The sequence below is a fragment of the Homo sapiens genome, chromosome 2, assembly GCF_000001405.40.
Source record: "Homo sapiens chromosome 2, GRCh38.p14 Primary Assembly".
In the NCBI taxonomy this organism is placed as follows: Eukaryota; Metazoa; Chordata; class Mammalia; order Primates; family Hominidae; genus Homo; species Homo sapiens.
Window position 1 is genome coordinate 173,175,488 of NC_000002.12, and position 17,044 is coordinate 173,192,531.

Genomic DNA, 17,044 nt, shown 5'->3' on the forward strand with positions numbered 1-17,044 from the left:
GTAAAAGTTAGCAGTGTTTCTTATTTCAAGGGTTTTATGGCATTCTCTTGCTTATTCTATTAAACCTTTTATTCTTTAAACCTTACAGTGGGCCATATGTATGAAGTTTATAAAGTATTAATGATCTTCTTAACCAAAACAAGAAAAAAATTCCAAAGAGTTCCCAGTTCTCTACTGTTTTATCATCTCAAAAGTTTAAATAAGATGTTCTGCTGCCATTGTTGTTTTTACTGTTTACTATATTAGCACTTTCTCTGATGTGCTTTGGAGGTTGATTGATGAATTTCTTAGGCGTTTTGCTGGAATTAATTTATGGGTGTTTGACTAGATGGTGAAGAGTAGACTGAGAGAATCTTCAAGTGACCATGTCATTGTTTTCTTGCTGTCTTGTCTTGGTGATTAAGATGCAATTCTTTTTAAAACCAAATGGCACTGGTTATCATGTTTCCCAAATCAGAAATCTATTTTAGTTAATATTTTAAAGAAATATGAAGCCACAGCAAAAACCAGTATTATTTTTACTACAGAGTGTTAATGGATGTAAAGAGGTTAGCGAGATATAGTGTTTAATTAATGATGTTTATTTTCACTATATTTAATGAATAATCTTTTTATCTCCTTTAAAGAAAAATAATGTTTATTGGTTAAAGGTAAGAAATAATAGTTAAGACACCAATTTAATTTCAAGATCTTTGACTGTATTATGCATTGTACAATGGATTTCACTTTTCATGAAATGCCTCAGTTTTCCTACTTTTATTTTTGTTTTTTATTACCATTCAACTTATGGTTTTTCTACCTTTAAAATAAAGATAATGATGAATAAAAATAAAAACATAACATTGTATAAAGCAATACGTTTTTGTTCACTTTTGTTAACTTTAAAATGTATGTAGATATATTAATATATCACAACAATAGCATAAAGGATAAGGGAGGGAATGGAGTTATATTGGAGAAAATCTTCTATATTTTATTGTAATTAGATTAGTATTAAACTGAGGTAGACTGTGCTAAATTAAGATACATTTTATGATCCCTTGAACTACTGCTAAGAAAGTCATTCGATAAATATAATAAAAATCAATCAAGGATTTAAATGATAGATTAAAATTTTTTATTGCAAAAGAGGACAATAAAGGCGGAACAGGAGACTAAGAAGGACAGGGGACATGAAGAAAACATGGCAAATTTAAACCCAGCTGTATCAATAATCACATTATATGTAGATGTTCTAAACACTTCAATCAAAAGGCAGAGATTGTCAGATCAGATTAAAAAATAACCAGATCCAATTATGTACTCTCTACAAGAGACATATCGTAGATTCAAAGATACAAATAGGTTAAAAGTAAGAAGATAGAAAAAGATATGCCATGCAGACAGTAAGCACCAGAGAGCTGGAGTAACTATATTAAATTTCAGACAAAATACAGCAAAGATAAGAAATATTACTTGAGATAAATAGAACCATTTCAAAATGATAAAAGGATCAAGACATCAGAAAGACATAGCAATTGGAAATGTATACACACCTAAAACAGGTCTCAAAGTATGTGAAGCAAAACTAACTGAATTAAAAGGAGAAATAGGCAATTCACCAGTAACTGATTTCAGTATTCCACTCTCAATAATTGATAGAACAGCTAGACAGAAAATAAAATGGGATATAGAAGACTTGAAGAACACTCTCAGCCAACTCTACCTAACTCACATGTAAAGAATACATATTTTTTCAAGTACACATGGAACATTCTCCAGAATACGTCATAAGGGAGGCCATAAAATAAATCTCAGTTCATCTAAGAGGACTGATACCATACAATGTGTTTTCTAATCACAATGCAATTAAAATTGAAATTAACAACAAAAGGAAATCTGGAAAATTCCCAAATTTTGGAAATTAGGCAACACACAGCTAAATACCTACTGGGTCAAAGAAGAAATCACAATAGATTTTTTTTTTTTTTTTTTTGAGATGAAGTCTCATTCTGTCACCCAGGCTGGAGTGTAGTGGCGCCATCATCTCGGCTCACTGCAACCTCCACCTCCCAGGTTCAAGCGATTCTCCTGCCTCGGCCTCCCGAGTAGCCACCATGCCCGGCTAATTTTTTGTATTTTTAGTAAAGATGGGGTTTCACCATGTTGGCCAGGCTGGTTTGGAACTCCTGACCTCAGGTGATCCACCTGCCTCAGCCTCCCAAAGTGTTGGGATTACAGGCGTGAGCCACCACACCCGTCCAGAAATCAAAGTAGATTTTAAAATATTTTGGAGTGAAAGAAAATGAAAATGTAACATATCAAAATTATAGAATATTAAAATTATAGAATGCAGATAAGGCAGTATTTAGAAGGAAATGTATAGCTTTCAACACCTATATCAAAAAGAAGAAAATCTGAAGTGGATAACCTGAGCCTCAACCTGAAGAAACTACAGAAAGAAGGACCAATTAAAACCAAAGTGAGTCAATGAAAGGAAATAATAAAGATTAGAACAGAGCTCAATAAAACAGAAAACAGAAAAGCAATAGCAAAAATCAGTTTATTAGATTTGTTAATCTTTCCAAAGACTAAAGGATTTATTAATCTAAAGACTAGACTAAAAGTTTAGTCTTTGAAAAGATTAATAAATTTGACAAGCCTTTAACTAGATTGATCAAGAAAAAAGAGAAGATAAAGATTAGCAAAATCAGGAATGAAAGAAAGAGCAGTGCTATGGCTCCTGCAGAAGTTTATAAGGATTATAAAGAAATGTTATGACAGTCTTTATGCCAATAAATTAGATAATTTAGATGCAGTGAACAATTGTCTTAAAAAGATACAAATTATCAAAACAGAAGATCTGAATAGACCTATAATTTAAAAATTGAATTAGGCTGGGCGCAGTGGCTCCAGCCTGTAATCTTAGCACTTGCGGAGGCCAAGGCAGGCAGATCACTTGAGGCCAGGAGTTCGAGACCAGCCTGGCCATCATAGCGAAACCCCATCTCTACTAAAAATACAAAAATTAGCCAGGCATGGTGGCACACCCCTATAGTCCCAGCTACTCAGGAGGCTGAGGCATGAGAATTGCTTGAACCCAGGAGGCGGAGGTTGCTGTGAGCTAAGATCATGCAACTGCACTCCAGCCTGGGCAAAAGAGCAAGACTGTTTCAAAAAATAATAATAATTGAATTAGTAATTTTAAATATTTCCATAAAGAAAATCCCAGGCCAAGATGATTTCACTGGTGAATTCTATAAAATGTTTATAGAAGAGATAACATCAATTCTTCCCATACTCTTTCAGAAAATAGATGCCAATATTCTATATGAACAAGCAGTATTATTCTGATACCAAAGTCATACAGAGACATAAGAAAGCGACAGACCAATATTCTTCATGAATATAGATGTAAAAATTCTTAATCATATTAGCATACTGAATCCAGCCACCCATAAAGAAGATTATAAATTCCAATTAGAATTTATCCCAGAAATGGAAGGTTGGCTTAACATCTGAAATCAGTCAATGTAAGGTACCATAATAAACAATAAAATCATAGAAGATAAAAACCCTATATGATCATTTCAAGATTCAGAAAAAGCATTTGACAGACAACACTCACTGACAATAAGAAATATCGGCCAGGCACAGTGGCTCACACCTGTAATCCCAGCACTTTGGGAGGCCGAGGTGGGCGGATCACAAGGTCAGGAGATTGAGACCATCCTGGCTGACACAGTGAAACCCCGTCTCTACTAAAAACACAAAAAATTAGCTGGGCATGGTGGCAGGTGCCTATAGTCCCAGCTTCTCAGGAGGCTGAGGCAGGAGAATGGTGTGAACCTGGAGGCGGAGCTTGCAGTGAGTCGAGTTTGCACCACTGCACTCCAGCCTGGGTGACAGAGTGAGACTCCATCTCAAAAAAAAAAAAAAAGTTTAAAAAAAGAAATCTCAACAGACTAGGAATAAAAGGGAATTTTTCCAACCTGATAAAGAGCATCTACAAAAACCCACAGCTAATATCTTATTCCACGGTGAAAAGCTGAATGTTTTCTCCCCAAGACTGGGAACAAGGCAAAGAAGTTCTACTCTGACATCTATTCAACATTGTACTGAAGGTTTTAGCCAGTGTGATCAGGCAAGAAAAAGAAGTAATAGGCATCCAGATTGGAAAGGAAGAAATAAAACTATCTTATCTGACAACCTATAGGTAGAAAATCCTAAGGAATGCGCACACACACACACACACACACACACACACACACACAAAAGCTACTAAAACTAACAAACATGTTTAGAAGGGTCACAGGATGCAAGATCAGCATTTAAAAATCTATTGTATTTCTATATACTGAGAGTGAACAACCTAAAAATTAAATTAAGAAAGAATTCCATTTACAGTAGCATCAAAAAGAATAAAATAGTTGGGTATAAATTTAACAAAATAAGTATAAGACTTGTACAATGAAAAGTACAAAAATTGCTGAGAAAATTAAAGATCTAAACAAATAGACATTTACATATTTATGGTTTAGAAGATTCAGTGTTGTCAAGAGGGCAGTTCTCCCCAAAATGATCTATAAATTCCACACAATTCCTATCCAAATCCCAGCAGACTTTTTTTTAGAAATTAACAAGCCAATCCTAAAATTTACGTGGTAATGCAAAAGACCTAGAAATAGCCAAACCAATTTTGAGAAAGAACTAACTTTGAGGACTTAGACTGCCTCATTTCAAAACTTATAAATCTGTAGTAATCAACATAATACAATATTGGCACAATATCTACAGGGATATAGACCAAAGGAACACAATTAAAATTCTAGGGAAAAAGCCTCACATTGATTGGCAATGGATTTTCAACAAAGATGCCAAGACAGCCTTTGATTGCTGAGACAATTAGAAATTGATATGCCAGGGCCGGGTGTGGTGGCTCACACCTGTAATTCCAGCACTGTAGAAGGCTGAGGTGAGAGGATCGCTTGAGCCCAGGAGTTCAAGACCAGCCTGAGCAACATGACAAAATCCCATCTGTACAAAAAATACAAATAAAAATTAGCCAGCGTGGTGATGTGCACCTGTAGTCCCAGCTACTAGAAAGGCTGAGGTGGGAGGATTGCTTAAACCCAGGAGGTTGAGGCTGCAGGGAGCCAAGAGTGTGCCACTGCACTCAAGCCTGGGCAACAGAGTGAGACCTTGTCTCAAAAATAAATCCATATGCCAAAAAAAAAAATTAGAGCCACACCTCAGACCATACATAAAAATGAAATGAACTCAAAATGGATCATAAGCCTAAGTATAAGGGTTAAACTATAAACTCTCAAAAGAAAAATAGAAAATCTTCATGCTTTGGGGTTAAGCAAAGAGTTCTTAGAAATGATACCAAAAGCACAGCCATAATAGAAAAATTGAGAAATTGGAATTTATAAAAATTAACAATTTCTGCTCTTTGAAACATGATCTTAAGAGAATGAAAAGACAAATGACAAACTGGGAAAAAATATTTGCAAATCATATATATGACAAAGGACTTGTATCTAGAACTAAAAAAAATTATTAGAACTCAATAAAACAACCCAGTGTAAAAGTGGACAAAAGATTTGAATAGATATTTTGCTTAAGAATATATAAAAGGGGCTAATAGGCACATAAAAAGATGCCCAACTTTGTTAGTCACTAGGGAAATGCAAATTAAAAGCACTGTGAGATACCACTAGTGTTATACCCGCTACAATGGCCATAATCAAAAAAACAGACAATACTGCTGGGCACAGTCACATGCACCTGTAATCCCAGCTACTTGTGAGGCAGAGGATGGCAGGGAAGGACTGTTTGACAACAGGAGTTTGAAGTTTGAGACTAGCCAAGGCACCATAGCAAGACCCCTTTCTCAGAAAAAAAAAAAGACAATATCAAATGTTGGTGAGGATGTGGAGAAACTGAAACCCTCATACGTTGCTGGCAGGAATATAAAATGGTAGAGCCTCTTTGGAAAACAGATTGATAGTTTCTTTAAAAGTTAGACATAAACTTACCATATGGACCTGCAATATCAGTCCCTGAAATCTACCCAAGAAAAATTAACATATTTACACACATAGACATGTACACAAATGTTCATAGGAGCATTATTCGTAATAGCCAAAAACTGGGAACAATCCAAATATCTATCAACTGGGGACTGAATAAACCAAATGTAGTATATCCATACAACAGAATAGTATTCGGCAATAAAACAGAATTGAAGTCTTCTTATATGCTTACCACTTGAGTGAACTTTGAAAACATTATGCGGCCAGGCGCAGTGGCTCAAGCCTGTAATCCCAGCACTTTGGGAGGCTGAGACAGGTGGGATTGCTTGAGCTCAGGAGTTTGAGATTACCCTAAGCAACACAGCAAGACCTCATCTCTACCAAAAAAAAAAAAAAAAAAATCAGCCTCAGCATGGTGGTATGTGCCTGTAGTCCCAGCTACTTGGGAGGCTGAGGTGGGAGGATTGCTTGAGCCTGGGAGGTGGAGGCCACAGTGAGCCGAGATCAAGGCTGCAGTAAGCTGTGATCACACCACTGCACTCCAACCTGGGCAAAAGAACGAGACCCTGACTCCAGAAAGAAACAAAGAAATAAAGACATTATGCTAAGGGAATGATGTCAGACACAAGGAACAATTTGTATGATTCTGTTTATATGAACTATCCAGAAAAGGCACACTGGTAGAGAGAAAAAGCAGATTGTAGGGCTGGTGTGAGAGTGATGATTAACTGCAAACTGGCACAAGAGAACTATTTGTAGTGATGGAAAGGTTCTAAGACTGGATTGTGGTGGTGGTTGCCCAACTTTATGAACTTACTAAAAATCATCCAATAATATACTTATTGCAGGTGAGTTTGTGGTATGTAATTTATACTTCATTTTTAAAGGATTTTTCTCACTTTTTTGACCTTCTGTGCTTAAATTTTGAGAGCTCTTCTAAGTCCTTATGTGACAACAATTGATTTGTTTACACTGTCATTAAGCTGTCTGATTTATGCATTTAATATCTATCTCATAAGAATAACAACTTTTAAAGAAATACCTATTTATATACATACCTTTGTTTCAAATTTATTCTTCCAACACCTCTTTGGGTTTCTCAGTTCCAGCTAAATGGCTTTTGATTCTCAACTGAAGTTTACTATTCATTGTAAGTTACTGTCTTTTGTTTGACAGATATTTTTCTGGATGACATTAACTTTTAGAAACCACACCATGGAACAATTTTTTATATATTTTTGATGTCTTTTGTTAAATTCTTTAATGTATTTTCTCAATGAAAATATAAAGTCTTATTTCTGAAATGTATCTTGATTTTAATTATATGCTTATCTTTCCTTTTAAAATAGAATATGCTTCTCTGGGATCACTCTATGATTACATTAACAGTAACAGAAGTGAGGAGATGGATATGGATCACATTATGACCTGGGCCACTGATGTAGCCAAAGGTAATAATATTTGGTATATTCTTATAGAATTAGTGGGGTGCATTTTCCCCTCCTGAAATGGGGACTTAACATCAGAAAATGTTTTATTCTGTCTTTAGATGTTCTTTTTCCAGACCAAAAGTAGTAAGAATTCCACAGCTGATGGTACAGATAATATTTTAGGTCATTGCCTTTCCACTCCTGAATTCCTTTTATCTTCCTCTTAAGACTCTACTTTATTTCTATCCACGAAATCTAGTTGTAGCTTCAGGGCAGACATGTTTGTCATGTTTTGTGATATTATAATTGACTAGCTTGCTTGACACATTAAATGGAAAAATCATAGTTCTGTTGTTCTGAAAGTCTCTACTTAGACTCAGTATCCAGAAAACATGATTTATTGTAGGATTAGTTCTACTCATTTTGTATACATAATATGCTAAAAATAGAAACCACTTGCAAAAAAAATTTTTATTTGTCCTGCCATGTAAAAGCAATTCAGATTTTATTTTACATTTAATGTAAACTTACTTAGGCATCGCTGTTGGAATTAAATATTTTTAATACACCAAACCCCTAAACAAAGTGCCCAGTCTTTTTTCTCATACATTCTTGCATAGATGAATGCTTTCTAAAGCAATTCAAACTTCATTTATTTTTATCTTTTTTTTTTCCATTTTCCTAACTGAACATTTCTGGGCTTTATTTATAACTGTCAGAGTTGCTTTGGAAACAACTTCATCTAAATAATGAACACCGATAGTTATATTTGTATTCTAGCAACCCCTACAAAGTGTGTCTGAATTTTCCTGGGGCAATTAACTCCTCTACATTTTACTACTCCATTCTCTACAAGCATCTCTTTACAAAGCAAATATAATGTGATTTAGCACTCAGTAAGGGGAGCAACTCATACGTTGATTTCACTGTGTGACTTCCAAAAGTAGCAGTCTTTCCTTTGGGGAATTGTCTATTTTAAGTTTCATCAACACCTACCAAATTCTTCAAATAGGGAAAGTGAAAAAAAATTTTTTTTGAGTTTCATGCTAGATGCTGCTGCTGAATGATGCCTCATTACATTATAAAAATAATAAGCTCTGTGTTTAGGGTGGTGTACCTGAGACTTTATGTTAATTTGCTTAATTGTGTATTGATGCATCGGGCATCTCAAATCATGCTTAAACTTTCATATTCTTAAAGATATTTTCATGTAATATCATAGTGACTTCTCTGTATGTCAGTAGAACACAAGGACCAGCTCTCTGTAAGCAAGGTGATGTGCCTTTATTGGAGGCTGCCTGAGCATTGTGGAAATACCCTTAAATAATGTAAATGCATATATAGGTAGTACTTAACTTACAGCACATCACCTTACACACGTTTGCATTTAGGGTGCTCAGCCAGTTACACCCATGTTATTACTTTATTGGCACTTAGAATAGATAGACAGCAAACAAAACAGCTAACATCAGTCACTCTGCTTCCTGCTGTGCTCTACTTAAGCATCCCTGATTCCCAGCCTGGGAAACTCTTCTCCCTGCACCCCCTTAACCACATGCCACATCATCCCGACTGAGGGATAAGTCTCTTGGCTCCACATCAGCTGAGTCATTCTTGGTGTTTTCTCAAGAGTGCTAGTGCTCTGCATCAGAAGGGCAAGGAAGAGAAGGAATCGAATTAGGTAGCAAACTGGGCCTGGTGCAGTGGCTCATGCCTATAATCCCAGCACTTTGGGAGTCCCAGGCGGGTGGATCACTTGAGGCCAGGAATTTGAGATCAGCCTGGCCAACAAGGCGAAACCCTGTCTCTACTAAAAATACAAAAAATTAGCTGGGCGTGGTGGTGCACTACTCGCCTATAGTCCCAGCTCCTTGGGAGGCTGAGGCAAGAGAATCGCTCAAACCCCAGAGGTTTGCAGTGAGCCAACATCAAGCCACTGCACTCCAGCCAGAGTGAGACTCAGTCTAGAAAAAAAAAAAAAATTAGGTAGCAAACTGGTACCAGAGTTAAAAATAAGGAAGGAGAGGCCAGGCACGGTGGCTCACGCCTATAATCCTAGCACTTTGGGAAGCCGAGGAAGGTGGATCACCTGAGGCCAGGAGTTCAAAACCAGCCTGACCAACATGGAGAAACCCTGTTTCTACTAAAAATACAAATTTAGCCAGGCGTGGTGGCGCATGCCTGTAATCCCAGCTACTCAGGAGGCTAAGGCAGGAGAATCACTTGAACCTGGGAGGCGGAGGTTGCGGTGAGCCAAGATTGGGCCATTGCACTCCAGCCTGGGCGACCGAGTGAGACTCTGTCTCAAAAAAATAAAAAAAGGGAAGGAGAGAATGGGATTGGACCCACTGATGGTGTCCAAAACTGCAGATTAATAAAATCCCTTTTGCCTGTCTGGCTAATGTGTTTGACCTCAGGTGAGAAGAGTGAGGCAGAGAAGAGGCTTGTATGTTTATGGACGCAAGTAATACTTAACATTTAAAAATCCTTTAAGATGGCCCATTAAAAAAAAAAAATCAAGGCTTTAGGAATGACTTCAGCTTTCTCTGATAAGCTGGGTGTAGAACTTAAGAATTTAAGAGATTAAGTAGGAAGCCTTGATTTTTGTTGATTCTGTTTCAAATTCAGCTATGTACCTTTCAGTTTAACCTATGATTGAATCCACTGGAGCAATGATATGTTGAGAAATCAGAGAATGAATATTTTAAGCAAAGGTTGATTCATGCATTTTAAAATAGGCATTGCTCAGCATCATTGCTGTTGAGACAATATCTTCTCACAAAAAAGATTCTCTTCTTTCTAGATGTGAGGATAATGGAGGGTGGACCAGCAAGTATATCTGAAATTGCTGCAAGCTAATCAGCAATGCTTAAAAGGAACAATTAAAGCAGATAAACTCCAATCCAGTTTCAAAATGGTCACCACTCATTCCAGTTCTCCCCAAAAGTCTCCTCAGTTACACCTGCCAATTCTTTTTTTAAGGAAACCCTGAATGTACACCTGATGAAAGTATTTTTCAGCCTTCTTAATTGTTTGCAATAAATATAAGGCAGAATTATAGATGGATCTACAAAAACATTAAATAGAATTTTATGTGTGTGTGATGACTATTGTTTATATGAAATATTATTTAAATGTATACTATGCATCGTACACTAATACTTTATGGTACTTTTTTCTTATAATCTTCCATGAGGAAGGAAAGTGCCTATATTTAAAGCTTTTGTATTTGAGTCTTGTTTTTTGAAATCCTTACTTGTCAGCAAGTGTAGAAACTATCTCTACCAGTAATAGTAATTATACAGATTCTACCTGAAAAATTATTCAGGAATTTGATTCTAAAGCAAGAGAGAGGTAACTATGAAATCCAGTCATATAGATTATTAAATGCTACCCAAGTTGTAACTATTGAATTTTTGCAGTTTGAGGGATGTAGAACTTCTTATCAGAAGAGAAATTTCCTTTATCCCAGTTACATCTTATTTAAGATCACATAATTACTAATACTTGTGTTAACTTGACTCTTCAGTGATATCATTCAGTGATATCATTAAAAGGCAAGAGTTTAAATTTTCTTTGTCCTTTCATGATTCTTCAATATATCATAATTAAAATAGAAGAATAAAGATTTAAAAATTAACCTCTCTATATGCTTTAAAAAGCCTAAGCCTCTTATTAAATTATTTTCAATGCATTGTTCATTTTAAAAAGAAGCCTATTTGATTTGGAGGTGAGGGGGAGGCTATTTCTGCCATTAGTTAGAAAAAACAACTTGAGAAATAAAGAGGATATATTTTAGTAGAAAATCATCCTTTTTTTATTCTAAAGGGGTAGACAATACGTAAATACAGAAAGAGTCAAAAACTACTAAGGTGGTAACCATAAAATGTGTCTTTAAAGTATAATTTTATATTCAAAATAATAAAGCTCTATAAATATGATGGAAAGAATTTTGGAGTATGTTGAAATACAGATTATCTCAAAGATTTATCCTTGTAAAAGGAATGAAATACTTTGTAACTACTGTATACTTTTTTATCTGAAGATCATAAAATTATTTACCAACCGTAACTAATCAGTCCTCCCAGTTCTCCCCACCACTACCCCACATCCACTCCCAGGTCTTGTTGGAATGGGTACTGAGAAAAAGCCAAGCTGCAGCCAGGTAACCATAGACATCCAGAACTTCGGTAACTGGACATCAGAATCTGCAGTTGGGTACCTGCAGACAACCAGATGAAAACCACAAATTTTACTCAGAACTTTGGCAGATTTAGAAGGTAGTTGGTAGCGGAATACCTTAGTCGTGGAGCCCTCCTTTCAGTGGTTACTGTGCTATTTTCATGCAGACTGCAGAAAATTAAGGTGTCCTTATTAGGTATTGTAAGAAGCTAGATTTACCCACAGTCAAATTCCAACCTCTAAGAGATTAAAGCTTATAAATTTGACTTCACATATACATGTTACTAATGTAGACATATTCTGTTTTCATTTTATCAGTCATGGAAGAATAAGACATGTGAATTAGTTTCTGCTCTTGAGTTCTTTGAAAAACTATGAAAGGTAATACTGATGTAATGTTGAAAAATATTAATAGGCCTTTATTTCTTCTTGTGTGAAAAGGAATGCATTATTTACATATGGAGGCTCCTGTCAAGGTGATTCACAGAGACCTCAAGTCAAGAAACGGTAATGTAGTTATGTTTTTATTTTACCTATTTTATTACAAATTACATACACTTGCATGTAGAAATGAGCATCATTCTTTTACATATCTTTTGTAACCTACTATTGGACTCACTGCTGATACCATGGAAGCCTTTCTACTGTCAATAAATAACAAAAATCTCAATATTATTTAAAGAAGCTGCATAGTATTTCACTGTATAAATATAGCCCAGAATGTGGACATTTGAATTGTTTACATTTTTTCTCTGATAAGAAATGTTGGGCTTAATATTTCAGCCAAATTTTTCAAGACATCCCTAATTATTTCCCTAGAATCATTTTCTAAAAGAGATACTGCTGTGTCAAAGTATGCAGTCATATATTTTTAGTCTTCTATTTTTAGGTGGCTTTGTGCACTATCAATTTTGAATTTTGTTCTTGTTGCATCTGAATTGCGTGGTGTGAATTGTTGATGCCAGTCATGCCTGTATTACCTGGAGTAGTGCCCAGAAATGAGCCACATGATTGGAAGTTTGGAAAGTAAAGGCTCTCTTTTTCTTCTTTCTCTTCTTCTGTACTTTCTAAAGCTTATTTATGGCCCTGTATCTTATAATTTGGAGGGTGAGCATTTTAAAATAACTTGCAGGATTAGACATTACCTTCAAGTAGGAGTGGTAACAGAATGCTTCTTCTGTTACATCACTTCAGAGTTATCTGAGAAAGGCAGTAGCATTATAGCACTAGCTAAAGTAAACATCAGAGTTTGCCACTTTTCTGAATACCCTCCAATCAATTAATTATTTACATGCTTTCTAAATGCTCCTTCTCAGTAAGGAGGAAGCGAACTATCTATTTTTAGGAGATCTTTAATTAAAACGAGTATATGCTAATAGTGTGATCCTTAGAATGGGTGGTGATGACAAGTAGTGGAAGAGAACCAGGGAATGAATCGATCAGGTACCCTTGCACGTGCCTCAGGACTGTGAGGTTTGTGTGTGTGAGTGTGTGTGTGTTTAGCAGGGGGTGAAGGGATGGGGGCGGGGAGGGAAGTTATCAGCACCTGCCACTTATCAGTAGTCCAGGTTGGACCACCAATTTAACCCTGTCTGATTGTCCTTTCCTCTTCTAGGTTATCATGTATTCTTTGGTTCTTCTTAGACTTAAGCTTCCTGGAACTAAGCACTTTTGATATATGGTCAGCTAACAGGAAGTCATTAGGAAATAATCTAGGCTGTAGTAGAAAAGATCAGAGTTTTATGAATTTGTAAATTTTCAGTTCATGCTCAGAATTTCAATTTAACTATGTTATTTGACTTCAGTATATCTTAAATCTTCTACAAAAGAGGAATGATTAACTAAATTATGGATTTTTCCCTGCTATCATTATGAAGACTATATAACAATGGAGAGTGTCCCCATTTTAAAAAGTTACAGTTATATGTATTATAGTTACTAAATAGGAACACACATACACTGATATTGAAAGAATATAGACCTAACTTATAGCAATTCTTTTTCCCTTGGAAAGGTAACCAGAGTTTCACTTTCTATGTTATGTATTTTTATAATGGCAGTTTTTCTAGTGAGCACTTGTTAATCTTATAATGAGAAAGCTGAATATAAAATTAATAATATTTACATTTCTATTTGTAAAAGTTTGTAGCTTATTACTTATAGTACCAGGTTTACCCTGAGGCTATTTTCAAATATTAGATCATACAAAGATCATTTTCCCTCCTTGGTAAAATCATCAGTAACTAGTAAGTATTGATCATCTATCATGTTCAAGGCACTGCACGGTTTACAAAAGAAACATCTGAAACAGTTCTTCAGAACTTTATCCTTGGACTCATCTCCTCTTATGCTCTGAGTCTTGCACTCCCATAAAAGCCCTATTTACATATTAACACTCAAAAACAGATCTCAACTTCAAAACTATTTTTCTATCTGCTGATTAGACACATCCACATAGATATTTTTTAAGACACTAAAATATATTATGTCCAAATTAATCTTTTCATTTTCTCCCTAACCCCGAAAAATCATCCCTGCATTTCTTTTACTGAGTGGCAATACTGTTTGCCCAAGCCAGAAATGAGATAAATAGTAGTTACAGTTTAAAGCCAGAGCTCCTATTCTAACCATTAATCTGTATTGCTTCTTTATCTGATTTTATCCTTGAGTTCGCTTCCTTCTCCCCCAATATCCAGCCATTCATTAAGCCTAGGTGATCCTACATCCTAAATATTTTTTGACTCGGTCAACTTTTCTCCTGTCCTTTGCCACTGCCTTAGTACAGATGTCCTCATCTGTCTCCTGGACCACAAAACCTTGAGTGCCAAGTGATGCCCTTGCCTCCAGGTCTATTCTTCTCTGACATAGTCTCCCCTCTGCACCTTTGCTCATTTCATCCCTCCACATAAAATTGTTCATTGGCTTTCTCTTTCTCTTCTTGACCTGGCACCTACCTTCCAAAATTGCCATACATTTTTTGTCTGCTCCTGAGTTTTTGCATAGGCTCTCTCTTCTGCCTAGGAAACTACTTTCCTCCCTCAGCTCTCCTCTTCCTGGTTAACTCCTGTGTTTTTCAGGTTTTAGCATAAGCATCATTTCTTACAGGAAACTTCATCTGACCGCCCTCGACACAGATATCATTGTTCTTTGGCTCTATAGTATTGTTTCTCTCATCATGGAATCTATCCCAGTTTGTTGTAGATGTTTATTTAATTGTCTCTCTGATAAGAATATAAACCCCCTGAGAGCAAAGACAGTGGCAGACTTGCTTACAGTCCTGTTCCACAGCATTATACATGGCGTTACCCACAGTAGCCTCAGCAAATATTTATTAAATGAATGAATGTATGAACAAGTGAATGAATGAATATTCTCTCCACCTTTAACAAAAATCACTCAGTTGGGAGGAAACCATATATATAATATGAAGTAGTAAAGCTAATGACTACCTCAGTATCACATTGGCAGTACATGGGCAGAACCCAGGTAAAAATTTGGTTCTCCTAACTACTACTAATTTGTGCCTTTCTTACTGGACAGTACTGCATTTGGATAAAACAAGTGTCTCAGAAGCCTTTTTAATCAGTACCTAATGGAATTAAGTTTTTGTTTTAATGTCAGCCCCCTTTTGCAAAATCCTCAATGCTGTAAATACATTGATTTCACCTTTCATAATCCCATATTGAAGACAGAAATAGAAGTTTATGGTTTTTTTCAGTAGAAGACAGCTCAAACAAATTAGATGATTGTCATAATTTATCCTTTTTTCTTTTTTTAGTTGTTATAGCTGCTGATGGAGTATTGAAGGTAGGACTATTTCTTTTACTTAAAAAAATTGTTAATTTCAGATGTAGATTTTTGTAACTGATAATCCCTTAATTAGCCAATAAGTAGAAAGTTGACACTGATTCCTGTTTTCTCAGATCTGTGACTTTGGTGCCTCTCGGTTCCATAACCATACAACACACATGTCCTTGGTTGGAACTTTCCCATGGATGGCTCCAGAAGTTATCCAGAGTCTCCCTGTGTCAGAAACTTGTGACACATATTCCTATGGTGTGGTGAGTTCATTTCTCATTTCTTGTTTACTAAGGGAAATACAAAAAGCAAACACTCAAAAGAAGAGAGATACAGTTTAACATGGTTTTATTTTTATTTGAGACTGTACTGCTGGTGGAATGCCTAAAGCAGCACCATTGGAGAACGCTTCCTAGTTGCCAAAATGTTTAATCATTTTTAATCATCGGAGTTATTTTGTCCTGTGTTGAGAAGAAACCAACACCACTTCCAAGAAACAAATTAAATGGAATCCGAGATAGTGTTGGGCTCCGCTTTGCCTGTGAGAATGATTTTTTGCAGGGTGGTAATGTGACTGTGGACTCTCTCTGTAATTTCAATGGAAATGTGGATCATTTGGAACAGGACTTCATTGTAATGGATTGCTTAAACAGTATAAAATCACCAATAGATCTGCCAAGCGAGTTAATTACCAGGAAACTTTTGAGTCTCAACTATTAAACTGATTCATCGGTTTCTAAAAGTCCAAAAGAAAATGTACTTAGCACTTACCAGATGACCTTGTCCATGTCTGCTGCCAGTCTTAGAGTAGCAGTGACTATCTGAAGCGTGACTCTAAGGCATTACATAAGAATCACAGCAGAGCCACATAGAGAATAGACTAATGAGGGGGTGGAGTGCTCAAGGAAGAGACCACAGGAATGAATCCGTTAAGGAGCAGAAGCTCCTGGAGGAGGAATTTGGAGATGGGCCATTTCCTGAGGAATAGGTTATACCTGCATTATCAGAGAGAAGGAAGTGGAGTGGGAGAGTTCTTTGCTGGAGGAAGGAATTCATTTGTTGCCTTTTGTTGAGGATAAACTTTTCCCTAAAATGTTACGTATTCTTTAAAAAGTCCAAAATAGTTTTGGAATTCCCTGTCTTTACATCTCATACTGCCCTGCTATTTATACTATTATACTGCCCTGCTGTTTATACTATTACTTCCTAAAAGGGCATTTTCATAGTAATGGGTAAAGAAGCAGCCTGTTTTAGGTCCAAATCAGCCTGTCTCTTCGTCCTGAACTTCTGTGTTTTCTTACTGCAGGTGGTAGCCAATGACACAAGAGGAGATTCACGTTGTCAGACCTGTTTTGTTTTGTTTTGTTTTCTTTATTCGGTCTCTAGGTATTTAATGCTGGCTTCACAGGTTTTGGACTTGTTTCAGTGACTAGCTTTTTGTAAATCATAACACATCCTATGTATACCAAATTAATAAAGATTAATTTTGTTAGCTATTGAAAAAATCATTTCAAGAATGAAATATGTTTTTGACCGAAGGCTAGAATTTTAAAGGTCAGAAGGCAAGAGTAACATCAGGCTTAATACCTGATATCCAAAAAAAGAAAAAAAATCAAT

The 17,044-nt window shown here is 36.0% G+C and overlaps 1 protein-coding gene across 8 annotated transcripts in view, besides 1 other annotated feature; it reads left to right on the top strand.

Moving 5' to 3' along the window:
• MAP3K20 (mitogen-activated protein kinase kinase kinase 20) overlaps positions 1–17,044 on the top strand; it is a 192,499-nt gene that overhangs the window by 99,971 nt on the left and 75,484 nt on the right. For all 8 annotated transcript variants that reach the window (XM_047444746.1, XM_017004324.2, NM_016653.3 and 5 more), the window contains exons 4-7: positions 7,367–7,468; positions 12,071–12,136; positions 15,408–15,436; positions 15,553–15,690. In XM_047444746.1, coding sequence (XP_047300702.1) covers positions 7,367–7,468; positions 12,071–12,136; positions 15,408–15,436; positions 15,553–15,690 — 335 coding nt within the window. The remainder of the gene's footprint in view (positions 1–7,366; positions 7,469–12,070; positions 12,137–15,407; positions 15,437–15,552; positions 15,691–17,044) is intronic.
• Positions 16,068–16,649: an enhancer, noted in NCBI's record as "OCT4-NANOG hESC enhancer chr2:174056283-174056864 (GRCh37/hg19 assembly coordinates)". NCBI's record gives its function as "activates a minimal SCP1, AML or CMV promoter by ChIP-STARR-seq in naive H9 embryonic stem cells {active_cell/tissue: H9 hESC(naive)}" and the evidence as "EXISTENCE:reporter gene assay evidence [ECO:0000049][PMID:30033119]".